Source organism: Homo sapiens, chromosome 16 (genome assembly GCF_000001405.40).
Source record: "Homo sapiens chromosome 16, GRCh38.p14 Primary Assembly".
Taxonomy (NCBI): domain Eukaryota; kingdom Metazoa; phylum Chordata; class Mammalia; order Primates; family Hominidae; genus Homo; species Homo sapiens.
Genome location: NC_000016.10, coordinates 81843625 through 81871513, shown reverse-complemented (window position 1 = coordinate 81871513; position 27889 = coordinate 81843625). Strand labels below are relative to the sequence as shown.

General features: G+C 47.1%; 1 protein-coding gene across 4 annotated transcripts in view; it reads right to left on the bottom strand.

Moving 5' to 3' along the window:
* Nucleotides 1-27889, bottom strand: part of PLCG2 (phospholipase C gamma 2) — a 223645-nt gene that overhangs the window by 91172 nt on the left and 104584 nt on the right. For all 4 annotated transcript variants that reach the window (NM_001425751.1, NM_001425749.1, NM_001425750.1 and 1 more), the window contains 5 exons: nucleotides 16927-17070; nucleotides 13158-13251; nucleotides 12351-12398; nucleotides 2216-2300; nucleotides 579-662 (listed from right to left, as the gene is read on the bottom strand). In NM_001425751.1, coding sequence (NP_001412680.1) covers nucleotides 579-662; nucleotides 2216-2300; nucleotides 12351-12398; nucleotides 13158-13251; nucleotides 16927-17070 — 455 coding nt within the window. The remainder of the gene's footprint in view (nucleotides 1-578; nucleotides 663-2215; nucleotides 2301-12350; nucleotides 12399-13157; nucleotides 13252-16926; nucleotides 17071-27889) is intronic.

The window sequence follows — 27889 nt, the reverse complement described above, 5'->3', positions numbered from 1 at the left end:
ATACAAAATTAGCTGGGCGTGGTGGCGCACGTCTGCAATCCCAGCTACTGGGGAGGCTAAGGCACAAGAATCGCTTGAACCCGGGAGGCAAAGGTTGCAGTGAACCAAGATCACACCACTGCACTCCAGCCTGGGCAACAGAGTGAGACTCTATCTCAAAACAAACAAACAAACGTGTAAAAAGAAGAAACATATATATAATTCCTCAATCTGGAGATGGCTATTAATAATAACAGCCATTTGCTAAATTTCCTTTCAGAATGAAATAATGCAGTAGAGTGAGTTGCACTTTTTTAACAGACTCAGATCAAATTCCAATCAAACTTATGGCCATTCGCATTTCCACCAGGAAGGCATATGAACACCATTTCTCTACATTTTGCCCACAGCTCTGTCATGGTTAAAGAATTTTGCCAATCTAATGGATGAAAATGGTATGCTTTCATCATTCTCATTTATGTTTCCTTGACTAAAATGGAGATTCAACACTTCTTGTGGGTTTCTTAGGAACATGCCAGACTTGGAAATACATGGAAAACAGAAACATCACTTGATCACTTGCTCAAGAATCATCTTACCGATTTTTGCTGTTCAAACATAAGTTTTTTATAGAAGAGATGGAACTGTTCAAAGCTGAGCTCATCTTTGTGTGCTCCTATTTCCTGTAAATATGAAAAAAGTGACCACATGATTTTTGATGTCCACCGTAAGAATGGCTCCATGCTATTTATAGAATAATTTTTGTTTCAGAAATGGCATGCTATTTTATTGGCATGCTGAAGAGACAGCTATGACCACATTGTTTCAGTGTCATGGCTTTTGAAAGGAAAAAGTCATGCTATTTAACATGGCTTTTCTACAACATTGGCTAAAATCAAATTCATATTCCTCTGAATCAAAACCCTCCACACGTTCCCTAATCCCCCTGTCTGGGAAAACATACTCACAGAGACACCTACCAAGTAAGACCCTCCTTTGAGCCCCAAAAGGGAAGAGTCTCAGCCAGGTTTCCAAGAGACATGATGCGTAACTCCTCCTTTTTTGGGCAGAAAACACTCTCTTTGGACTTCCAACTTCAGACATATTTGTAGAGTACGTACATATAGGTCATTTTGTAAAGCATTGGGAGTCAGACAGAACTCAGCTCCAATTAATTGCTTTATGGCTTTGGGCAATTTCCTTGACCCTTTCAAACCCTCAGTTTTCTTTACCTGTAAAATGGGAGAACCACTACTATGCTCCTAGGGCTTCCCTGAAAGTGAACAACATACCTGCAAAACACCTGGTTCAGTAAATACTTGATAAAGAATTAAATGGCAACTGTGTAGCAATCAATGGTAAATGCTTCTCCCATCTCTCTCCTCTTCTGACCTACCCTTTTCTCTTTTTCTATTATTGGATTAATGTGGAATATTGGGGGCAGGTCAAAGGATGCTTGATAAGCAATAAAATGGGATAATTTTTCCAGGAGCTCATTAATACAAAAATGAAATGAGCTTTTTGCACTGAGGAACCTTGTAATGGAGCTGATATTGAAAATGGGCATTGGAGTCCTCCAACTGGGGCTGTTTGGATGCAGGGTTGCTCATTTCCTAAGAAGAATGAGTATTTCCCTGTAAGCAAAAATCGGTGCCCATTGTCTCCATCCTTGCCTCACCTGCTCTACTATATCCCATCACTCATGGAGTGGCTTTACTGCCCAGACCCACCAATAACTTGATTACACAACAAAATAAATTTAATGATGTATGGAAGGATGGATGGTTGGAGAAACAGAAGAAAAAAGAGCCAACTCTGACAGCTACACTACCAGGACTTGCATACAAAATGCCACGGTCCTGGTACCCTACACAAGGAATCTTTCATAATATTTTCCAAAAGACATACATGCATTCATTTCACTAGGGAAAAAATGGGCTGCAGTATGGTCAGGGAAATAGGGAAAGCTGGACTAATGGAAAACAGGTCTGAGGGTAGATGTTCCAAGTCCAAGAGCTCAGTAAACATGGTCTTTATTGATTACATTCTCTGCTAGGATTGAGACGATGGTCCTCAGATATGTCCATGATCCCTCTGTCTGAACTAAGATGTACTCTGGAGGCAAAGGATTTTCTTGTGCACTATTCCACGGAACTCAAAGGCAAGCCACGGCTTCATGAGAGAGGCTAAGTCACTCCGCATTCATAAAATTCCCAGGCTGAGCCATGAAACTTACCACAAACTTATCTTTAAGGAACTTGGCACTGCTCACTTTAAAGTTGATCAGGGGCAAGATGGTCTTCAACTCTCGGAGACTGATGCTGCAAAAGAGGGAGACCCAGTTCTGTCACCTTGAGGGTTTTCAACAGCACAGGATTTAGCTGCTCCCATCAGTTCCCACCTCAGGCAGCCCTCTATGAGAGAGCCTGGTCAACAGTTATTTATGGACCACTAACTGGGAACAAGACATTGAGTCAAGGTAAGGGTGACACTTCAATGAGCAAGGCTCAAGCAATGTCCATGGACATGGGTCACATAGCAGACTCACAGGGTAGGGTGATGCCCCAATAAGGAGGGCTGGTCTCCACCCTTCAGGTATGTCCAGGGACATAGGTCACATAAGAGATTTATAGCGTACAGTGATGCCCCAATGAGGAGGCACCTACACTGGAGATCCCCAGTATAGGGTGATGTCCCAGTGAGAAGGGCTGGTCTCCACCCTTCAGGAATGGTCATGGAGGAAGGTCTTGCAGGAGATTCAGTGTGGGCAGAAAATGATGTCAAATGACCAGATAATCTCAATACAAAATGCCACAGAAATGCCAAAGGCCCAATATAGGTGTTGACATGATGTGATTTCTGCCCAGGACTCTGAATGTCAAAGTGAAGAAATTCAATGAAGCCTGGGTAAACATCAGGAGTAACTATGACACTCTTCATGTAGCCAAATGCTTTGTCACCTAATTAGCGACACACATGAATGGATGAACAAGACTCCTACTGACTCTACCTGCCACCCAGAGGAACCAAAACCACAGGACGGGCTTGGCAGAATCAGCCAGGAAAGACCCAGCTGAATTTGACTCTAGTCTGACACTGTGAAGAGACAAGAGGGATGCAGAGTAAGTGGGGACCCCCTGCACCCCCAAAAATAAGTAAAAAAATAAAGGTTTCTTTTAATGCCACTGGGGTTCAGAGCAAGGCAAGGTCACTAAGGGCCAGGGAGGGGAAGTGGGAAGGAACAAGGCCTACATGAGCACCTACTGTGTGCCAGGCTGCCCTGGGGTCATCCAGGCATTAAAGTTGCCTAATTGTTCACCAGATTCTACCTTCTGCAAAGTACACATGGTTGACCCCCAGGGCTCAGAACAGCCAAGGGTGGGGTGTCACATGGGTACACAACTCAGGGCTTAGAGCTGGATGGCAGGCAGCAGAGCCTGGATTTGAATCAAATTCCAGTGCTCGGTCACAGGAATCTGCATGAGTGTTTCTTCGAAGCCACATAGTGAGGTTCAGCTGAAGCGGGAAGCGAGGGCCAGGCACGGTGGTGGCTCACGCCTGTAATCCCAGCACTTTGGGAGGCTGAGGCGGGCGGATCACGAGGTCAGAGGATCGAGACCATCCTGGCTAACACGGTGAAACCCCGTCTCTACTAAAAATACAAAAAAAATTAGCCAGGCATGGTAGCAGGCGCCTGTAGTCCCAGCTACTCAGGAGGCTGAGGCAGAAGAATGGCGTGAATTCGGGAGGCGGAGCTTGCAGTGAGCCGAGATCACGCCACTGCACTCCAGCCTGGGTGACAGAGCAAGACTCCATCTCCAAAAATAAAAAAGAAAAGGGAGGGAAGCAAGGGAGAACACGTCCCAGGCAAAAGGAGCAGCAGCAGCAGTAACAATAGTAACAAAAGCTGAAACTTCAATAGTGCTTATCAGGTGACAGGTGTTGTTCTAGGTGGTGCCTTATATGCACATTCACCTGTTTGATGTTTGAACAATTTTACAAGGCAGGTACCATGATCATCTCCATCTTCCAGGTGAGGAAACTGAGGCACCGATCAGTTTGGTACCTTATCTGTGCTAGCCTCAAACTCCAACCCAGTGTGCCCATAATGACCACACCTGACTGCCTCCAAGCGAGTAGCTCACACAAGAAGGAGAAGTGAAATTAGTGGGGTGGGTGGGTCAAGAATATGAGATCCAGACCCTTCTGGCTGGAGCCAAGTGTCCAGCAGAGCTGAGACAGAGTGGTCAAGAGAGGAAGCTCGCCCCACCTTGCAGGAGAAAACCACCTAGTTTCCCTGTACCATCCTCCCAGCTTCTGCTGTGGCATGCGGAAGGAAGTAGCGCGTCACTGCCCAGCCGCTGCCCTGGAGACGGTCCAGTGTGACTCTGGCCATCCTGTGTCCCCACCTCCAGCCTTTCCTCTGGTTCTAAGGGCCTCTGTAACAGCACAGACTTCAAATGACAAGATGCTCCCCACCCACTTACTGGTACCACAGGGACAGCACCCACGGCTTTCACAGACAGACCTTGAGGGCAGAAAAAGTCCCTGTTGGGCCAGCTGGGGCTGGCTGGGCACAGCGGCCAGCAGGCTAGGGAAGTTGCCCCAGGGGCTTGCAAGAACCTTTCTGCCTCAGCCCTGGGAGTGGTCCAAGGAACAGCTGGGCCAGGGCAGGATGAAGGTGGAGGAGCAGTGGGAACAGGCGCTACCAGAGCGGCAGCGAGAGGGGTCGTGGGGAGAGGAGCCAGATCATGCTGGTGCCCCAGTGGAGCCCATCCTGGGAGCAAGGGAGAGGCCAGTGTCCTCTCATGCTGGTGCCCAGTGGAGCCCATCCTGGGAGCAAGGGAGAGGCCAGCGTCCTCTCACGCTGGTGCCCCAGTGGAGCTCATCCTGGGAGCAAGGGAGAGGCCAGCATCCTCTCATGCTAGTGCCCCAGTGGAGCTCATCTTGGGAGCAAGGGAGAGGCCACGTCCTCTCATGCTGGTGCCCCAGTGGAGCTCATCCTGGGAGCAAGGGAGAGGCCAGCGTCCTCTCATGCTGGTGCCCCAGTGGAGACCATCCTGGGAGAAAGGGAGAGGCTAGCGTCCTCTCATGCTGGTGCCCCAGTGGAGCTCATCCTGGGAGCAAGGGAGAGGCCAGCGTCCTCTCATGCTGGTGCCCCAGTGGAGCTCAACCTGGGAGCAAGGGAGAGGCCAGCGTCCTCTCATGCTGGTGCCCCAGTGGAGCCCATCCTGGGAGAAAGGGAGAGGCTAGCATCCTCTCATGCTGGTGCCCCAGTGGAGCTCATCCTGGGAGCAAGGGAGAGGCCAGCGTCCTCTCATGCTGGTGCCCCAGTGGAGCTCATCCTGGGAGCAAGGGAGAGGCCAGCGTCCTCTCATGCTGGTGCCCCAGTTGGAGCTCACCCTGGGAGCAAGGGAGAGACCAGCATCCTCTCATGCTGGTGCCCAGTGGAGCCCATCCTGGGAGCAAGGGAGAGGCCAGCGTCCTCTCATGCTGGTGCCCCAGTGGAGCCCATCCTGGGAGAAAGGGAGAGGCCAGCGTCCTCTCACGCTGGTGCCCCAGTGGAGCCCATCCTGGGAGAAAGGGAGAGGCCAGCGTCCTCTCATGCTGGTGCCCCAGTGGAGCTCATCCTGGGAGCAAGGGAGAGGCCAGCGTCCTCTCATGCTGGTGCCCCAGTTGGAGCTCACCCTGGGAGCAAGGGAGAGGCCAGCGTCCTCTCATGCTGGTGCCCAGTGGAGCCCATCCTGGGAGCAAGGGAGAGGCCAGCGTCCTCTCACGCTGCTGCCCCAGTGGAGCTCATCCTGGGAGCAAGGGAGAGGCCAGCGTCCTCTCATGCTGGTGCCCCAGTGGAGCCCATCCTGGGAGCAAGGAAGAGGCCAGGGCCCCCCAGGAGCCCAGACAGCAGCAGGGCAAAGGAACCATCCCATGTCCAGGAACAGAGAGACTGAGGGGCCTGGGGTGCCAGAGCAGCTGCTCAAGAACAAGTGGAGAAAACCCAGGAACCAGGGGCTTGAGCATCCAAGCACCTGGGACATGGGAGCCCACCTGGTCCAAAGGCCTCCCCTTACAATGTAAACACTGGAGGCTGAGAGCTTCTTTGGGCTCCTAGCTCTGGGACAGCCTCACCCGCTTTCTCCCTAGGCGAGCCCCTCCCTCACTCCCACCTCTGGATGTGTGTGTGTCGTGCTGCACAGCCCGACCAAAACCAGCACAGGCAGGCTGAGCCCCCATCGCTGCAGGGGAGGAAGCCAACGGCTCAGCTTCACCCCTCTCTGCAACCTGCCATCCCCTACAGAGAGTGCCTCGCCCAGGTCAAAGCCCCTTCCAAGGCAGCCAGCTCTGACCCAGTCCACGCAAGGGAACAAAGGCCTGGCCCTCTAGTCTCAATTCAGGACAGCTCCACAGGCCATGCTCAGAGCTCCCCATCAGGTGTGCCCAGGCCATGGTTGTGACTCCCCAGCTGCCTGTTCCAGCTGCCTTCCTTCCCCCAGGGTGATGACCCTGCACTCCCTAGTAAGCCTCCTGCACACAAACCTGCGTCTCAGATCATGTTTCCTGGGAGCTCAACCTAGGGCTGTGGGTTAGGAAACAAGGGAATCCCTTTGGAGAAGGACGGCAACTATTCCCTGAATGAGTTACCAACAGCCCCTCCCTCTCCCATGGCAGACAGCACTGAACAATCACAGTGTCCTCCCTGCTCAGCCCGGGAGGCCCCCAGGGTTCTTCAACTCCCGCACCCAGGCAGCCATCACCAAACCATTAAGGATGGCAGCCCCGTGACACTTACCAGCCATGCTGAGGCTGGGCCGGCACCTCCACTGCCCCCGGCTCTTTTGTAGCAACAATGGCAATAAGAAACATTCGTCAAGTGTTTACCATGAGCCAGGCAGGTCCACGCACCCTTCACATATTAACTCCTGAAGCCTCACATCTGCCCTGGGAGGCGGGAACTATTATTTTATCTTTTACACATGAGGAAACTGAGGCCCACAGAAATTAAATCATTTACCCCAATTCACACAATGAGTTAGTGTGAGATCTGAGATTTAAACCTCAGCACCATCTGACAGAACTTTCAACAATGATGGAGACATCTGTGCTGTCTGAGGTAGTAGCTGCTAGCCACACGGGGCTGCTGAGCCCCTGAAATGCAGCTAGTTCCACTGAGGAGCTAAGTATTTTATTTCATTTTGTTTTGTTTTGTTGAAATGGCCACCTGTGGTGAGGGGTGCCCTGCTGGACAGCGCAGCCCCAGAGTTCTGCTTCTCTAAGTAGCTCCCAGACCAGCAGCATCTACATCACCTGGGGATTGGTTGAAATGCAAATTCTTGAGCCCTGCCCACCACCTACTCAATCAGCCACTGTGAGATGGAGCCCAGCAGCCTCCACTTTCACAAATCCTCCAGGGGATTCCGGTGCATGCTCAGATTTGAAAATTGCCCTCTAGACAGCCCTAATTTTCAACCCCAGCTTCACAGAAGAATCTTATTTAAAAAATTTGCAACGCCAGAGGCCATGCCCAGAACAGTAAAACCCGAATCACTACTGCCGTGGCTCTGCCAAAGCTTCCCCAGGTGACTCTAACATTCTGGAGTCTCAAATAGGAAGCCTATTTGCATTCACGCTGAATGAGATAAATGGACTCACCCACCTGCCTTCCACCTGCAACCCCCTCACCCTTTGCCACCTCCTGGTAGAGTAGTTCCTCTGTCCCTGCCAGGGCTAAAGGACAAAGGGAAGTGCACATTCTACTTATGCAAATCCAATGTTATACGCCAAGGGGGCAAGGGCAGAGGAGGGAAAGGAAGTAAGTGTTGGTGAGGATATGAAGAAAACAGAAACCTGTGCACTGCCTTGGGAAGGTGTAGCTGCTACAGAAAACAGTATAGCAATCCGGCAAAATAAATCCAGCAATTCAGCTTCTGGATATATACACAGCAATCCAGCAACTGATCCAGCAATTCAGCTTCTGGATATATACACAGAGGAATTTAAAGCAGAGACTCAAACAGATTTGTACACCCATGTTCGCAGCAGCACTATTCACAATTGCCAAAACGTGGAAGCAACTCAAGTGTCCATCGATGGAGAAGTAGATAAGCAAAATGTGGTCTATCTGTACAATGGAATATTATTCAGCCTTAAAAAGGAAGAAGATTCTAACACATGCTACAACACAGATGAAACTTGGAGACATTACACTAAGTGAAATAAGCCAGATACAAAAGGACAAATATTCTGCTAGTCCACTTATATGAGGTACCTGGAGCAATCCAATCCAGAGAGACAGACAGTAGAGTGGTGATTTCCAGGGGCTAAAGAGAGAATCAATGGGGAGTTACTGCTTAATGGCTGCAGAGCCTCAGTTTGAGATGATAAAAAGTTCTGGAGATGGATGGTGGTGACGGGAGCATGACAACATGATATACTTCATCCCACAGAAGTACATATCTAAGAACGGTTAAAATGATCAATGTTGTTCTATGTTTCATTGTTGTTACCACAATAAAACAAATTTTAACATTTGTTTTTAATTTTTTTTAATCATAAGGTGATTGGTCAGGGTGGGGAAGGGAAGATTTCTGCATTTCCCCCAGCTCTCAACAGCACAATTGTTTTTATTTTCGTTGTTTTTGGTTTTGTTTTGTTTTGTTTTTGTTTTTGAGATGGGATCTCACTCTGTTGCCCAGGCTGGAGCTCAGTGGCACAATCATGGTTCACTGCAGCCTTGACCTCCCTGGGCTCAGATGATCCTCCCACCTCAGCCTCTCAAGTAGCAGGACTACAAATGTGCACCACTACACCCAGCTAACTTTTTTGTACTTTCTGTATAGACAGGGTTTCCCCATGTTGCCCAAGCTGGTCTCCAACTCCTGAGCTCAAGCGATCCACCCGCCTTGGCCTCCCAAACTGTTAGGATTACAGGTGTCAGCCACCATGCTCGGCCAGTAGCACATTTAAAAAAAGAAAAAAGAAAAAAGGAAAAGCAACACCAGTGGGGAAAGTAAGTCTGCAAACCCTGGTGCCACCCCTGACAACCTGGGCTGCTTTAGTCAAGTCACTTAACCTCTCTGGGCCTCAGTGTCCTCACATAGAAAACGTGTCTGAGAGCACCTAGCTCAACCGTCAGCCAAGAGCATATCCTAAGGATGTAAAGTGCTTATTACAGCCACGGCTGCAAAGAAGGCTGTAAACAAATGCCCGCTGCTACCATTTGCCTCTAGAAAAGTCAAAAAATGAAACAGCGTGCTTGGGCCAAGCAAAACACCTAAGACTTGTCCATTGCCCGGGCTGGGCCAGCCCTGAGCCTGCCCCCTCTCGCCTTCAGTCTTTCCTCTGCCTCTGTGGCTCCTTTGTTTTCCTTCAGGAAACACGATTCGTCTCGTGGGTGACAGGAAAGGGAGGGAAATTGGCAGGACAGAAGTCAGTTGCTCTTTCATTGGCATCTTGGTCAAAGTTTCTTTTGCAAAGCTCCCTCCAGGCTTCCCAGAACCACAGGAAAGGTGGGATTTTCCACATGTTGACAGAGAGCAGGGCTCTGCCCACTGGGAGGGAGGTAGAGGAGAGGAAGCCGGTGAGCACACAGGGATGAACTCAGTCCAGAAACAGAAAAGTTTCTCTCTGCAGAGGGTCCTGGACCAGCCGATGGGAAGATGGATCTCTATGCAGGACTTGCCAGAATGCCTCCTGAGCAAGAGGGTGGTATCCATTTCTTGACCTCACAAACGAAGAGCCGACTTCAGAGCCAGATTGGCCATACCATACCAGCACCGCGTGGAGAGAGGCACTGAGGGTGGCTCCCTCTCTCAGCCCTGTGCCAATCTCAGCTATGAATCATCATAAGCCACAGAGAAAGAAAAGTCAGAAGAGGCATCACCTCCGAGGCTGAAAGAGACCAGTGTGTACCAAATCTTCCAACACAAGCACCTCATTTGATCCACCTCAGTAACACGAGAGGGTGGCCCAGCGTGGCGGAGCAGGCAGGGCATTTTGGATGAGAAGAAGAGGACGGAGAGAAAGGCAGGTGGACAGAAAAACATGGAGTGAGCTAATGGCTGACCTAACATTACTAGACTTTTAACCACTTCCTAGTTAATAGTTCCAAATCCTCCCATCGGGCATGTGAAGAAACCAGGGAAGCTCACCCAAACCCTGAAGCTAACAAGTAACAGAGGACACTGACCAGACACGAAGTCACCTTCAAGATGGAAAGATTTTCAGGAACAAAATAAGAGAGCTGACAGAGTTTAGTTATTGGATATTAACTAGGATAATGACACATCTAGATGGGATAATGACATATCCACATAGGATAATGACATAAATAAATCAAGAATGAATGAAAGGAATATTTTACCAAAAAAATAAGGTGCCTCACGTGAGGCTAACATGAGACAAGGACTGAAGAGCTCAATGCAATCCCTGGCATGCCAAATACACGGTTGTTCAATAAATGGTAGGGTTTGGTTTTGGTTTTGGTTTTGGTTTTTTTGGTTTTTTCTTGTCGTGGTGGGTTTTTTTGTTGTTTTTTGTTTGGTTGGTTTTGTTTTGCTTTTTTGAGACGGAGTCTTGCTCTGTCACCCAGGCCACAGTAGAGTGGCGCGATCTCGGCTCACTGCAACCTCCACCTCCCGGGTTCAAGCAATTCTCCTGCCTCAGCCTCCTGAGGCTGAGTAGCTGGGACTACAGGAGCGTGCTACCATGCCTGGCTAATTTTTTGTATTTTAGTAGAGACAGGGTTTTACCGTGTTGCCCAGGCTGGTCTCGAACTCCTGAGCTCAGGCAATCTGCCTGCCTCTGCCTCCCAAAGTGCTGGGAATATAGGTGTACACCACTGCGCCTGGCCAAATGGTAGTTTTTATCATTACATTATCAAGAGCTGAATCATACCTCAAAAACATAATGAATTAAAAATGCTCAACCTCACCCATAAAGAAAGCAAGTTTAAGCAAAAACACTTGGTTGCCTCGGTTGCAGATGAACAAAGATCAAAGTCTAATGGCACAATAAATCATCAGGAAAGGGTGCCCTCTTGCCCCACTGGTAGAAATATTATACAAATTGCTACCTCTCGCTATCAAACTATTAGACCAGCAAACGCTGTGCTGCTGGTATTCGTTTCTGAGAATTTACCCCACTCACAGCTCCCTCAAATGAGTTTACAGAAAGATAGACCCAAAGGTTTCCACAGCAGCATTAATCACAGTAATGATAAAGGATTGGGAGCAGCGCTCTGTGCATCAACACGGAAATGATTTCCGAAATGACAATGCATTAATCTAAAGAAAAACCAAAACTGCGTTTGCTTTTTTTAAAAAAAAATGTCTGGGTAAGACTTCACCTTTACAAAAAAAAAAAAAAATAATAATAATAATAATAATAATAATAATAGTAAATAAGCCAGGCATGGTGAAACACACCTGTAGTTCCCAGCTACTCAGGAGGCTGAGGCGGGAGGATCGTTTGAGCCCAGGACTTTACGGCTGCAGCGAGCTATGACTGTGCCACTGCCCTCCAGTCTGGGCAACAGACAGAGACCCTGCCTCTAAAAAATAATAATAATAGTCCGTCATAGAGCTTTGTGCAGGACTGATAGGGAGCTTCTCCAAGAGGTACTTTTAAGTGAAAAAGTCAAGTAAACTGAATATACGTTATCACATCACCCAACACATCTCTACCAGCCCTTAGAACCACCTGGTGGCCGGGCGCGGTGGCTCATGCCTGTAATCCCAGGACTTTGGGAGGCCAAGGTGGGCGGATCACAAGGTCAGGAGTTCAAGACCATCCTGCCGAACATGGTGAAACCCTGTCTCTACTAAAAATACAAAAAAAATTAGCCGGGCATGGTGGCGGGTGCCTGTAGTCCTAGGTACTTGGGAGGCTGAGGCAGGAGAATGGCATGAACCCAGGAGGCGGAGCTCGCAGTGAGCTGAGATCATGCCACTGCACTCCAGCCTGGGCGAAAGAGCGAGACTCCGTCTCAAAAAAAAAAAAGAACCACCTGGTTTACTTCTTCACGGTCAATCAATCTCTCTCCTGTCACAAAGCATGGGCTGGTGCCATCAGGAGTGTGGTTACTGCTGTATTACCAGGACTTTAAAGGTGCTCAAATATTTGTGATGAGGTCCAAATGCCCCATGGCAGAGATCATCTCTGAGGCTGTACTTGAATTTTCTGCGGAATAGAGGCTCCCTCCAGGAGGAGGATTTTGTCATCCTCAACCCCAGGACCCAACATGGCATCCGCAGATCACAATGGACGCAGTGAGGACCTTGCTCCCGACAAGTCATGCTCCCACCCCCTTGGAAGGTTTAAAGATAGAATGAGGATCGAAATCCAAAGTGATCAGAAAAAAACTGAATGACTCTTACCTGTTTCTTCTGGTTTGATCCACAGAATATATCTGCTTTCTCAGCCAACTGGAAAGAAATATGAGACAAAAGAAAGAGAGAAAGAGAAAATTAGAAAATAGCACAAGTCTAAGTGAGTCCTACGGAATGTGCACAAAAGGAACTGGAACCAAAAGGAGGAGTCTTCCAACTTTCTAACAAGGGCAGCTTGGGAAGCAGTTTCCTCCTAGTGTGGAAAAGGCCTATCTAAGCCAAGATTTCAACTCAAAAAGGCCAGGTTTCTTTACATTGTCAATTCCTTCTGATGATAGTCATTTAATCCCCAAAAAGCTAGAAAGAAAAATAGTAAAAAGTAGAGGACTTTGATTTAGTGGAAGGAAAATAACTCACACCCCAATGCCCATCTAGACTCCCATGACACTGAAGAGACAGTCTTGAGGTCTTCATCAACCCAGGAGGGAGTGATAGGTGGAAAATTCCAGACCCTGTATCTGTCCTTTGATCAGTCCACTGAATCTCTTATTAAATCCTTTAAGAAGGAAGCCCTGTTTTCCCCCAGCACATACCCCAGGAATGTTTCTATCTCGAGTCCAATGCACCACTCACTCCAATAGGCCAACGCTGAAAACTAGCACAGGGAAATGCTCTTATTTGAAAAACTGTAGAGCCCACACCGCTACTAGGCACCCATTGCATACAAGACACTCAACGAGCCTCAAAAAACCAATGTCCCTTTTTTTTTTTTTCCCCCCTGTAGCCCATGTTGGCTAAAGGCAGCAGAATAAAGGAATCAGCAACTACGCAAATCAACAGGCAAAAGCCAACTACCTCTCGATAATGGTGGGCGTGGACGCATTCATCGCTTCCTGGTGTAAGATTTTCAAGCCAGAGAGCCAGTTAACTGCATCCTCTTTAGAGTCAGCTGGAGTGGAGAAAGGGAACAGAAATGCTGTGTTAATTCCTGGGAAGACGTCTGCTTACAAAGCCCTGCCCCATACAGATCACGAAGATGGGAGAAGCCTATGCTGGTTTCTAGTTTTGCAGAAGGCAAAGAAAGCATCCCCTTTCACACCGTCATGGCCCTAGGACCTGCTTTTTGTCTGAGATGGGGCCACACATTCATGATGAGCTTTGTACCACAGGGATGACAAGTGGGTTATTTCCTGTGCCAAATGGAATCAGCTAAGAATGGAGGGAGTGGTGGGAACTATCACTATGACATTGTTAACATCATTTGAGCACTAACTACATATATATACTAGACATTGTTCTAAGTGTTTTTCCTATATTGATCCCACAAGGGAAGTACTATTATATTCCCATTTAACACATGGAGAAACCACTGAACCTAAGACAGGTTCAGTCATGTGTCCAAGGCCACACAGCTCATAGCAGCCATTACAGACTGAATATTTGCATTCCTTCCGAATTCATATGTTGAATCTCTAACCCCTGAGGTAGGGCCTTTGTGAGGTATTTAGGTTTAGATGAAGTAATGAGAGTGGGGCCTCCATGAGGGGATTAATGCCTTTTTAGAGAAGAGAAAGAGAGACTAGAGCTCCCTCTCTATCCAAGCACACCCTGAGGAAAAGCCATGTGAGCACATGGCAAGAAGGCAGCTGTCTGCAAGTCAGGAAGAGAGCCCTCACCAGAACTCAACCATCCAGCATCTTGATCTTGGCATTCCCAGCCCCCAGAATTGTGAGAAAATAAATGCCTGATGTTTAAACCCCCAGTCTACAGCATTTCATTACAGTAGCCAGAGCACACTGAGACAGTGGAAGATACAGGATTTTAAACAAGAATCCATTATCTTACCCTGGCAGCACACTGACTCCAGGGATGAAAAAGCTGAGGAATTCAAACCCAGGTGTCCAACTCCAGAGCAGAGTTTCTCAACCCCAGCTGCTCAGGAGAATCACTTGAAGGCTTTTCAAAACCCCAATACTTAGGTCCCACCCTAAAGTAATTAAACCAGAAGAGAGGGATGACGGAGACATCAACAGGTGGAAACACCTGCCTGGTGCCAAAGTATATCAAAGGTTCAGTCATCAGTCTCCTCTGCTGCTATAACAAATGACCACAAACTTAGTGACTTAAAGTAATATAGATTTATTTTCAGACTGTTAGAGAGGCCAGAAGTCTAAAATAGACTGGTTGCATGAGATCTCTGAATTCCTTCTGAAAGCTCTGGGGAAGAATCTGTTTACTCACCTTTCCCAGCTTCTGGAGGCTGCCTACATTCCTTAGCTCATGGCCTCTCATCTGCTGACCTTTGTTTCCATCCTCACATCTCTTTCTCTGGGAATGACCTTCCCGGGTATCTAAGAACCCTTGTGATTCCACTAGACACCCAGATAGTCCAGGATATTTCCCATCTCAAGATCCTCAATTTAACCACACCCGCCAAGTCTCCTTTTCCATAGAGGATAATATATTCACAAGTTCCCGGGATTAGGACATGGGCATCGTGGGAGGGCAGTATTCAGCTTCCCATGGATGAGTACCACTGGCTTAGGGATTTAGCTTTTTGTTTTATTAAAGAGTGTTAGCTTTTAACCCTATGCTAACTAATAAAATGCAGAATCTGGAATAATCTGCACCACAACCCTAAGCAGCTGTCAGTATCTCCCCTGCTTCTAATCAAGATGGCACAGAGGGACAGCAAGTAGAGCTTGCTAATACCCAGGAGAGTATGGCTTGCTAATACCCATGGTTGCTATTACCCTTGTTAATAAGCGGCATTGAGGAGTGGTTAAGAGCTTGGCATCTGGCAAAAGGAAGATCATAGCTCAAGTCCCACTGCACCACTTCAGGGCTGTGTAACATTCAGGAGGTTACTTAACCCTACTCTGTGCCTCATCTCACCTGTAAAATGAAGCTAACAGTGCAAACACCTCATGGAACTATGAAGCCTCTCCTTAAGCACCAGGTACTTTATCAGTCCGTACACCCATGGCAGAGACTGCTGCTCTCATCTTCCCACACAGATGCGGAGGAAACTGAGGCTCTGAAGGGCTGAGTTTGTCTCAGAGCCAGTAAGTGAGAAGATGGAATGTGAATCAAAATCTTGACCATCACTGTGCTGACCTTGAATTTAGGGTTCCGGAAGAGGGACCAAGAGTGGGATATATATCAAAGTTCACATCCTGGCTTCCAAGACCCGGGTTCTTCTGGTCTCCTTACCAAATTAAGAACAGGGGGTCAGGGCTCAGCCTGCAGGTGGGGCTAAGGAGACAGAGGTGTGAAGCTTCACCGCCACGGGCCTTGCCCTCCTACCCCATCTCTACCAACTCCCCCTCCATATCATCAGTCAGACATTCGCTCCTCATTTCCTACATCCGACATGCTATTTCCCTCCTCCAAGCCCTGGCACACACCACAGCCTTTCCCTGGAGCACCCTCCCTCTCTTTCCTCCAAACTCCTACTGAAGCCTCAAAACCCAATGTAAAAGTCACCTTCTCTGCCAAGCTTCCCTGGAATTAAACATTCACAGCACACTGTATCATGCTTGCACTAGGTCTTATCCCAGTACACACATCTGTCTCCCCAAGTCGACTGAGAGCTTCTTAAAGGCGGCACCAGGTCCCATTCATCTTCCTAGCTCACTGGCATGTACACAACCTAACACAGAGTATAGGCTCAAAAGACATGTAGTAAAAGAATGAATGAGAAATTAATAAGTTATTTGACCGAAAAGTAAATGTCCCTATATTGCTCAACTTTGACAGCTGCCTCACCCACTTTGGTCTATTTTAATCGTATTTATTTTCTTAATTAATATACATATACTTCTAAGTCAATAAATTCTAGGACTGAACTTGAAAGTAGATACAAGCTTCTGCCCCTGAGTAAAGTGAGGAAAGTGCATGTGTGTGTGCAACAGAAGATCTCAGGACAGTTCCTTCAGATCAATCAGATTTGCTGAGCCACATCTGCTGGAAGAAAACAGGTTACATTTTTCTTTTTCTTCTCTTTTTTTTTTTTTTTTGAGACAGAGTCTTGCTCTGTCACCCAGACTGTAGGGGAGTGATGCAATCTTGGCTCACTGGTTCAAGCAATTCTTGTGCCTCAGCCTTTCAAATAGCTGTGACTACAGGTGCGCACCACCACACCCAGCTAGTTTTTGTATTTTTAGTAGAGACAGGGTTTCACCATGTTGGCCATGCTGGTCTCAAACTCCTGACCTCAAGTGATCTGCCCGCCTCAGGCTCCCAAAGTGCTGGGATTACAGGGATGAGCCCAGCGTACATTTTTCATCCAACAGAGCCTGGCCTTCAGTGTTAAAACTATCTAATCATCACTTATTCAGCTCTCAGCATGAGCCAGAGAGACACTTAACATACTCCTCACAATACCCCCATGAAATAGGCATTATTATTCTCCCCATTTCACAGCTGAGCAAACTGCAGCTCAGAGAGGTTAAGTCACTCACCTAAAGACACACAGCTAGAAAGGGGCAGGGCTGGGATTCAAAACCATGACCCCAAATACACATCAGTGAGCAGGCAGGGGTGAGCATTCTGCTATTAGCGAACTTCTTCAGGAAGACACTAAGGCACAGGGAAGGAGAAAGGCACAGAAACATGCACCTACCTGCCAAGCTGAGCGTGCTGAGGACGAACTGAGTGCCATATAGGATGGTGAAGCAGCAGTCTTCTTTCTGGCGAACTGCTTTTGCTCGCTCGAAATCTTTGGAGTTCTTCCCTGGGCGGATTTCTTTTATTTCCATGATATCCACTAAAATGAAATTAACATGAGCCAATTAGAAGCTGGAGTTCCCTCCACCTGAGGATGCAGCCACACAACTGCAGCCCAGGCACAGCCTGGCTCCTTCCTTCCCCAACAGGATCCCGCAAAGCTATCTCTGCGTCTGGACTCAGTGTCCCCTCCTTCTGGAAATGGACAAAGGGCTAAGACCCTACCCGGGCATTTGCTGCCACCCCACAAACCCCTGGAGTCTGAAGAGTTTGGGGTTTCCGCTCACCCTGTTTCTCAGACAGACACATTTTAAACTAGGACAATTAATTTTTGTAATGCAACTGAGATTTCAGGAAATAAGCACAGACTATTCTACCAAAAAAAAACAAGAGACCAAATTGATGCTCACTAGAGATCACTCTAGGCAGCCTAAAGGTCAACTGTCCGGTTGACCTTGACCTTGATGACCTTTTCCCTTGAGTCCCAAAAGCTACAAATGCTCTGTGGCTCAATTAAAGGGGGAAGAGGAAATGAAGGCACTAACTGATTCAAATTAAAAATAATAATAAGAGGCCAACCCCAGCGTTGGGGATGGTAACAGGGGTTCTGGATATCACAGGGCCTGTGAGAAGAGAGTGGTAAACTATGACTCTGGTAACAGTCCAGAGTAATGGACTGTTACTAATGGGCCACAGCCTCCAGTATTTATGCCTTATATAGCCAGCTGCCCTTCAATCCAGGTTGTCTCTGTGACCTGTTTTAACCAATAAAATGTAGTATAAATCAGGGATTCCCCAACCCCCAGGCCATGGACTGGTACCGGCAAGTAAGCACTATTATCTGAGCTCCACCAACTGTCAGATCAGCAGCGGCATCAGATTCTCATAGGGGCGCAAACCCTACGGTGAACTACGCATGCGAGGGATCCAGGTTGTGTGGTCCTTATTGGAATCTAATGCCTGATGATCTGAAGTAGAACAGTTTTATCCTAAAGCAATCCCCCCACTGCCCCCACCATCTGTGGAAAAACTGTCTTCTATGAAACTGGTCACTGGTACCAAAAAGGTTAGGAGCACTGGCACGCTGGCATAAATGATGCTGTACCAGTTCAGGGTCTAATGGTTTTTTTTTGTTGTTTTGTTTTTTTTTTTTGAGACAGAATCTCACTCTGTCACCCAGTCTGGAGTGCAGTGGCATGATCTCAGCTCACTGCAACGTCTGCCTCCCAGGTTCAAACAATTATCCTGCCTGAGCCTCAGGAGTAGCTGGGATTACAGGCATGTGCCACCATGCCCGGCTAGTTTTTGTATTTTTAGTAGAGATGGGGTTTCATCATGTTGGCCAGGCTGGTCTTGAATTCCTGACCTCAAGTGATCTGCCCACCTCAGCCTCCCAAAGTGCTAGGATTACAGGCGTGAGCCAGCGGGCCCAGCCTGGGGCCTAATACTTAAGAAGGCCTGGTACCTTCCATTTTGTGCTCTGGGGGAAGCCAGCCTCTGTGTAAGAAGTCAGACTACCTGGAGACCACCATGCTGTAAGAAGCCCAAGTTAGCCCTATGGAGAGGCCATGGAAGAAGAATCAATGCCCTCAGCCAACAGCCCAGCTGAGCCCCCAGCCAACAGCCACAGAGCACTGGACCATCTTAGAAGTGGATCCTCTGGCCCCAGTGAGCTGCCCCAGCTGACAACATGTGGAACACAGACAAGCTCTCCCAGTCCCCACCCATGCCCAGATTGTAGAAATATGTGCAATAAATAAAATGATTGTTGTCTTAAGCCACTAAACACTGGGATAGTTTGTTGTATAGCAATAGATAACAGAAACAAGTAAGAAATCCTTCCGTTCTGCAACTTCTGCTGCCATGTGACTCCATCTACTCCTGGTCAAAACCTACCAGGCAAGGATAGCAACCTGACTGACTCAAAGGTGACTCCTCCTTCCCCCTACAAGATGACCAGTGAACTCTGGACTGGCACAGAGACACAAGCTCAACAAGCTCAACCAGTCCCTTCTTTCCCTTTCTTCTGAAAAACTACAACAACAATCATCTTTTCATGGGATGCACCCATTCCATGTGCTTTAGATAGAGCTGATTCACCCCCACCACCTTCAACCACAAGCTGAAGGCGACAGCAGGGGCCAGGGAATGACCCAAGTGCCCTGGCTCAGTGACTGGTTCGGGGACAGACACATGGCCCAGCTGCACCATCAGCATCCTCCTGGGACTTATTTGGCCAGGACTACTGGTAAAACCTCCCCTCCACGGCTGCTCCCAAGCTGGTAAAACATGAGCCTGGGAGTGGCAGGGACCACCTTGTCTACCATGGAAGAAAGTGTTATCAAACCCTGGTGTACCTTTGAACTCCAGCACTCCTGGAGATGAGAGTGAGAAAGGAGATCTCAGCTTTGCAGCAAGAAGAGGTGGCTGTGGCCTGGAATTAAGGAAGAGGACAGAACGAAGTCCAGAGGTGAGCAAAGGCATCTTAGAGTCATAGTGAAACACAGGAGAGGTTCGTGGCCATTCACAGGCAACAATGGGAGCTAGAGGAGGAGAGCAGACAATTAAGTTAGAGGAGAGGGGATGGGATGCACTCAAAGCTTTCTGAGTTCTTACCGTGGGTCTAGCTCAATTAGAAACAGCTCAGTGGGCAAAAGCCATGTGAAAACAAGCCGGGCACTGGTGGCCCACGCCTGTAATCCCAGCACTTTGGGAGGCCAAGGCGGGCAGATCACTTGAGGTCAGGAATTCGAGACCAGCCTGGCCAACAAGGTGAAACCCCATCTCTAGTAAGAATACAAAAAGTAGCTGGGCTTGGTGGCACAGGCCAGTTGTACCAGCTACTTGGGAGGATGAGGCAGAAGAATCGCCTGAACTCGGGAGGCGGAGGTTGCAGGGAGCCGAGACCACGCCACTGCACTCCAGCCTGGGTGACAGAGTGAGACTTCGCCTCAACAACAACAACAACAACAACAAAAAGGCCATGTGAAAAGAGTAAAAAAACAGCACGTCATCTACATCCTGTGCATGTACGGTGGTAGACATACCCACCTACACGTGACAAGATTTCGTAGAACTACACACCAAAACAAATGCAAAATAACAAGAAAACGGAGTGTATGTAAAAAATGGTGAAAACCAATTAAGATCTGCAGTTTCATTAATAGCACTGCACCAGCGACCATGTCCAGGTTTTGATAACTATGGTTATGAAAGATGTTATCACTGGAGCAGCTAAATGAATGGTTCACAGAAACTGTACTATTTTTGCCAGGTCCACAAGAGTCTAAAATTATTTCAAAATAAAAAGTAACTAAAGACACTTCTCAATTATGGGTGGCCCTATTATTAGGGGGGTGGTATCTCTAAACCTTGTGGGGTAGAGTATTAGGGATGAAGGTGAGAGAAAGTAGAGAAAGGACTCATCCCCCGTCACACCCCACTGAGGACTTCTACTACAAGCTGGCTGGGGGGACCCATAACAAGTGGGGACCCCATCCAGACCTTGCACTATAAATCTTGTTCAAAGGGCCATTCCCACTGATTGCAGACCTCGAGGAAACAAAAATAAGCGGGCCCCATCTTAAATCTTACTCAAGGGAGTTAACCCTATTGCCCGCATGTGCAGGAGATCTGAAGAATGACCAGTCCTCCACCTTGGCTGCATTATAATACTAAACATCATGCCTAGGGGTGGGGATTTAACACGCTAATGAGATATGCAACACAGGAAGAAGCTCTCTATGCTGTTACACTGTGCAGGTGCCAGAAGTTCCCCGCTTCTACATGCTTAAATATCACTCCCTGCCTACTTTAGCCCCTTTAAAATTCCTCTCCTGACTGTCTTCGGGGAGCCAGGAAGAGAATTCTCTTTCTCTTGTGCTGCTTCTCTTATGCCTGGGCATAAGCTCCAATAAAGCCTTGTCTGGGAAAACTCTTTGGACCTCTTGTCAATTTCTATCACACTGAGAGCCCAAGAACGCACGGTCAGTAAAAGATGGACATGTCGCCACTCTTCACCCAAACCAGAAATCTGAGTCTTCCTTATCTCTTCTCTTTATCTTCACTCCTCAAAAACAAACAAACAGAAAGATCCTTTTCGTGCACTGAAACTTTTTTGTTTGTTTGTTTCATTTATCTGGGGGAAGCTTGAGTACTTTTACAGACTTCATGATGTTGCACCCCAAAATACTTAATTTATCTCAAAAAAATGAGCACACTTTCTTATAGAACCATAAAACCTTACACCTAACAAAACTGATGATAATTACATAACATAACCTAACACCTCATCTGTATTTAAATTTCCCCAGTTTTCTCCAAATCTTTTTACAGTAGACTTGAAGACAAATAAAATGCATACATCTTATCTCATTATGTCATTACATCTTCAATCCTACGGAGTCTCCTTGTTTACTTTTGTTTTCTCTTGTGCCTTTGACTTTTTAAAGACACTAGGCACTGGAATTCATTTTTAGAGGAAATCAACATGGCTGATATAACTGCTTTAGCAATTATCTAAAAACTTGAAAGGTATTAAGGTTTGTTTTCCAAAGTTAGTTATTCACCCACCCAGTTGACTGCCAGTGAAAGTCTAGTGACTTTAAGCAAACATTCTTTTCTCTTTCTGTCTAGTCTAACAATTCTCTTTCCCAGTAAAATGTCTTCAAGAGGGAATTTTTTTGGTTTTTTTTTTTTTTTTTTTTTTTTTTGAGACAGAGTTTTGCTCTTGTTGCCCAGGCTGGAGTGCAGTGGCACAATCTTGGCTCAGTGCAACCTCCGCCTCCTGGGTTCAAGTGATTCTCCTGCCTCAGCCTCCCGAGTAGCTGGGATTACAGGCATCCGCCACCAGACCTGGAAAATTTGTGTGTGTGTATGTGTATTTCTAGTAGAGACAGGGTTTCACCATATAGGTCAGGCTTGTCTCGAACTCCTGACCTCAGGTGATCCGCCTGTCTCGGCCTTCCAAAGTACAGAGATTACACGCATAAGCTACCACGCCCAGCCAAGAGGGGATCTTTGAACTGGCCTATGGTGAGCATCTGTCCTTACAGAAAAATTATACATAACTAAAGAAAAACTTTTTTAGACAAGGTAACATTGTCTTCCAGCAATAGCCAGATTTTAACAATTCTACTTCTGAAATTGCTCTGGAATCTGTCAACGTCTATCCATTTCCATGGCCAACACCACAATCCAAGCCACCATTATCTCTTGTCTATGGAGGCAGCTTCCTGACTTGTCTCCTTAAAGCAGTACGTTATCCCCACAGTCACCTTACGAAATACAAACAGGCTCATGCCACTCCTTGGGATCAAGCCTTCCCGTGACGTCCCATTGCTGTAAGGACTAAGAACCACAGCCCTGTGATGACCCCTCCAACCCCACGTGGCCTAAGCATCTGCCTCCCAGCCCTTGCACCACCCACACAGGCCCCTCCAAGCATCTCTTATAGGTCACACTCATTCCTACCATAGGACATTAGTGGTGTTGTTGGCACCACTGAAAATGTTCTTAGTCTGGTTAGTGCCAAGCTCTCCCTTCCAGTCTCAGCTCAATCAAACCAAACTCAGAAAACCTCCCAATGCCTGCTATGATCTATACCAAGCACCTCTCTTCCACAGCACTCAACAGAGGCAAATATGTATTAGATGGAATCTGTGGATCCACAGCCCTCCTTTCCTAGACTGTAAGCTCCATACACGCAGGGATTGTACACCCTTCTTCACCACTGAGCTCCACCCCTATCAGAGTAGCTGGCACACAGCGGGGCCCAATAAGTAGTTCTTGGAAAGAGGAAAGGGACAGAGAGAAATGGGGACCTCAAGAGGGATCAAATTACTGATGACTGAGCAGAGCAGGGGACAGAGAGGAAGAAGGACAGAGGAGGAGACAAGGGAGACCAAGGGAGACAGAGAGGGACAGAGAGACCAGGTACAGAAAAGCACAGGTTACCCAGACAAGGAGGGAGAGAAATGCAAACGCACATGTACAAAGGCAGAGAGACAGAGCATGGTAAGAAAGAAAGAATGAAATTCTAACAGCCATTCTAATGATACAAGCAGCCCTGCACATCCGCACACCCCCTTCCAAAGGGCCCAAACAAGCACCCTTTGGAAGCCAGCCCTGCCCCAGGAAAGAGCTGCAGGCATCTGCCTTCATCAACCAGGACTTTATCATCCTGAACACCCCTCTCTTGCTTCTTCCCAAGACAAGTATTAGCTTATTCATCATACTTCTGAAATGATTATCCTTTCTCCACTGAGTGGCCTCTGCCCCTTTGTCAAAGATCAGTTGATGATATTTGTGTGGGTCTATTTCTGCGCTCTTGATCCTGTTCTACTAATCTTTCTATTCTTCTGCCAACATCACCTGTACTGATTACTGGAACGTTAGAGTAAGTCTTGCAGTCCTCTGATTTCGTTCTACAATGCTGTGTTTGCTAGTCTATGTCTTCCACCTTTCCATATAACCTTTGGAATCACTTTGTCACTACCCACAGAATAACTTGCTGGGATTCTGTAATATTGTGACTTTTAATAAGATATACAGTCATCCCTCAGTGACTGTTGGGGATCGGTTCCAGGATCTTCCACAGATACCAAAATCCAAATAGATGCTCAAGCCTCTGATAAAAAATGGCAGAGAATTTGCATACAGCCTATGCACATCCCTCCATATACCTTAAATCCCTAGATTACTTTTAATACCTAATACAATGTAAATGTTATGTAAATAATTATACTGTATTGCTCAGGGAATAATGACAACAAAAAAGTTTGTCCATGTTCAGTAAGATGCAATTTTCTCAAATATTTTCAATCGACCATAGCTTAAATCCGCAGACGCAGAATCCACAAATACAGAGGACTGACTGCATATATTTGGTCTCCAACCCCATTTTCTGGCACACAACCCCTAACACCCTTGGAATCTGCAGTGATAAGTATCTTTTTGTAGGGCTGGGGGCTCCTAGATACCTCAGGATGAAGGTTGGCTGCCAGGGGAACCAACGATGTGATTAGAGGGTTGGAACTTTCAGCCCTACCCCCAACGTCCAGGAAGGAGAGAGGGGCTAAAGACTGAGTTGGTCACCAATGGCCAATGATTTAATCAATCATGCCTTTGTAATTAGGCTCTCATAAAAACCCAGGATGACAGGGCTTAGAGAGCTTCTTGGTTGCTAAACACATGGAAGTTTCTGGCGGGTGGCATGCCCAGAGAGAACATGGGAACCCTATGCCCTATGCATCTCTTCTATCAGGCTGATCATCTTTATCTTTTGTAATATCATTTTAATAAACTGGTATACATGTTTCCCTTAGTTGTGTCAGCCATTCTAGCAAATTAATCAAATCCAAGGAGTGGGTTATTGGAACCCCAATTTATAGCCAGTCAGTCAAAAGCATAGGCCACAACTTGGGCTTGTGACTGGCACCTGAAATGGGACAGAGTCTTGAGGGACTGAGCTCTCAACCTGTGGAATCTGATTCTAGCTCCAAGTAGATAGTATCAGAATTGAACTGAACTAGAGGACACCAAACTGGTGTCCAATGGAGAATTGTTTGCTTGATGCGTGGGGGGAAAACCATACACATCTGGTGTCAAAAGTGTTGAGTACAGAGGGAAGAGGAAAGAGAAAGAGAAAAAAAACACACCTTGATTTTTCCTTTCTCTGAGGTGAAGTGTTTCGTGCTGTATTGAATGTGAATTGAAAAAAACCTTTTCTTGTATCTCTATTAGATTTTGGTTGGGATTGTGTTGAATCTATAGATGAAGCCAGGAAGAACTGATATCTTGAAAATATTGAGTCTTCCTATCCATGAACATGGACTATCTACTCATGATCTTTTTAAGCATTAGCCATAAGCCCGATGTTCTGCTGGATGTACTTGATCCTGGCCCTCAAGGGTCTTACAGATACAGTAGCCTCATCCTTGAGGATAAAAATAAATGCTATATAGCAAAACTCTTACAGAGCACCTACTCTGTGTTAGGCAGAGTGCTAATGTTTTGCATGTTATCATAGGTTGGTTCCCTGGAAGTTGAGCCTGAGTCAGGAATTCTTGCTCAAGTGTTTACTGGGAGAGTGCAGGAGTGGGATGGCGAGCAGAATAAAGCTAAACAAGGCTGTGGTCCCACTTAGGGATGGGCTTCACCCTGACTGTATAGGGAGTGGCGGGGGGATGTCTGGAGCATGAATCACACCGGAAAAGTAGGTCCTCCTGAAGGAAGGGAGGCCAGTCCTCTTGTCCTCCCTGCCAGTCAGTCATTGGCTTGGCTTACAGCCACTACAACCTCCTAGGTGATGCAGATTTCTTCTAGTGAGAGCAGTGCCCTGAAGAAGGGGCACCTGTGAGCCACGACACCCAACACTCCTAGCAGCTGGGAAATGGAGCACAAGCCTGGTAATGGGAGCTGAGTGGGGCACAACAGCATCCTCTGTATTAACTCATCGTTCCTCACAAGAACACTATGAGGCAGGTACCATGACTGCCCCTATTTTACAAATGAGGAAACTGAGATGTGGAGAAGTGAAGTACCTTGGCCAGGGTCACCAGCCACAAGTGCAAGAGCCAGCATTTGAACTTTGACTCATAGTCAAGCAAGTGACTCTAAGAAGCCACATAAGAATATGCAGCTCTCTCCAGGGTTTTCTATCTGGTATTCAGCAAAGTCTGAGGGGGTCGGTGGGCATTTTTGTTGACATCTCCACCCCTTGATCTTACATCAGGCAGGGGCATCTTGGTGAATGATGATCCCACTACCCACAGGGGTGCAGAGCTGCACAGAGAGCGGTCAGGCCCACTGCGCTCAACGCAGTGCATTCAAGCCACCTTTCTGACCCGAGGCTGGGAACAAGATTCTAGTGCAGGGGCTGCAAATTCATGTTCCCAGGAGCTATCCAAGTCATGAGGAGCAGTGTCGCTACTGATGAGGTGGACAGACTCTGGAACCTGGAGTCCCAGCTCCCCAGCTTATAGCAGATAGCTTTGGACAGTAACTTCAATTCTCTGTGCCTCTGCTTCTTCATGTGAACAACAGGAGTGATAGTGATACTTACCACACAGTGCTCTTGTGGGGATTAAATGAGTGTGCGACTGTACATGTGTGTTTGTCAATTAAAATAGTACCTGGCAAAACAAAAATGTAGGGGAAAAAAAACAAAGATGTAGAAGCTTCTCTGTACTTGTTAGCAACTGAATCAAGCTGGACACATATAAGGCATAAGAAATAACACGGGACAGGGAACAATGGCTCATGCCTATAATTCCAGCACTTTGGGAGGTTGAAGTAGGAGGATCATTTGAAACCAGAGAGTTCAAGACCAACCTGGGCAACAAAGCAATACCCCATCTCTAAAAAAAAATACAAAAAATAAACGCAGTTAGCCAAGTGTGCTGGTGCACACTGGTAGTCTCAGCTACTCAAGAAGTTGAGGGAGGAGAATTGCTTGAGCTCAGGAGTTTGAGGCTGCAATGAGCTGTAATCACAACTCTGCACACCAGCCTGGCAAGAGAGCAAGACCCTGTCTCAGAAAAAAAGAAAGAACATGGTGTCTCAATTTATTTGCTGTGAACATTAAGGAGGCAGATCCTTATGTACCGACATGACAAAAACTCCTCGATGACCTGTGTAAATAGGAGACTAGATGTATGCATCCATGTGTGTACACACATACATGGCCATGTGTACATGTACATATTATATACAAGTGTCCATCACTATGCAAATTCTCACTATCTGAATGTCTACTATAACTTATTAACTCTTTTTTTATGCAAAATGCACAATCCAGATCATAGACCTGCTGTACGAGGTTCACGAGCACCTAGGTGCCAATGAAAACAGTGAAGGTGTGGGCCAGGCACAGTGGCTCACGCCGGTAATCCCAGCGATTTGGGAGGCCTAGGCAAGCAGATCACTTGAAGTTGGGAGTTTGAGACCAGCCTGGCCACCATGGCAAAACCCTGTCTCTACCAAAAATACAAAAATTAGCCGGGCATGGGGGCATGCACCTGTAATCGCAGTTACTAGGAAGTCTGAGGCAGGAGAATCACTTGAACCCATTGTGGGGGTGCAGAGGTTGCAGTGAGCCAAGATCACACCACTGCACTCCGGCCTGGGCAACAAGAGTGAAACTCCATCCGAAAGAAGAAAGAAAAGAAAGGAAAAGAAAAATGAAAAGGTGCCCGGGCGCGGTGGCTCACGCCTGTAATCCCAGCACTTTGGGAGGCCGAGGCGGGTGGATCACGAGGTCAGGAGATAGAGACCATCCTGGCTAACACGTGAAACCTCGTCTCTACTAAAAATACCAAAAAAAAAAAAAAAAAAAAAAATCAGCCGGGTGTGGTGGCGGGCACCTGTAGTCCCAGCTACTCGGGAGGCTGAGGCAGGAGAATGGCATAAACCCGGGAGGCAGAGCTTGTAGTGAGCCGACGTCACACCACTGCACTCCAGCCTGGGCCACAGAGCAAGACGCCTTCTCAAAAAAAAAAAGAAAGAAAGAAAAAGAAAACAAAAGAAAAACGAAAAGGAAAAAGGAAAAGGAAACAGAAACAGAAAAGGAAAGGAAAGGCGTGTCTGTCTGCAATGGAAGAGAAGCAGTTAGACACACAACCAACGGCACATCAAACCCGGCATCCTGCCCATTCTATTGAGTTCTTCTTTCATCCCAGCATTTGCTTCTGACAAGCAAACTACCAACCAGGGTCCAATTTAAATGAATCTTTAGTATTTTAAGCAGATCATTTCATTGTTTTTTCCATTACAGTACAAGGTAGTTGGAGGATAGAAGAATATCCTAATTCAGAAACATTACTGTATAGTATCCTATGTACTTTTTGCAAACATGCTTA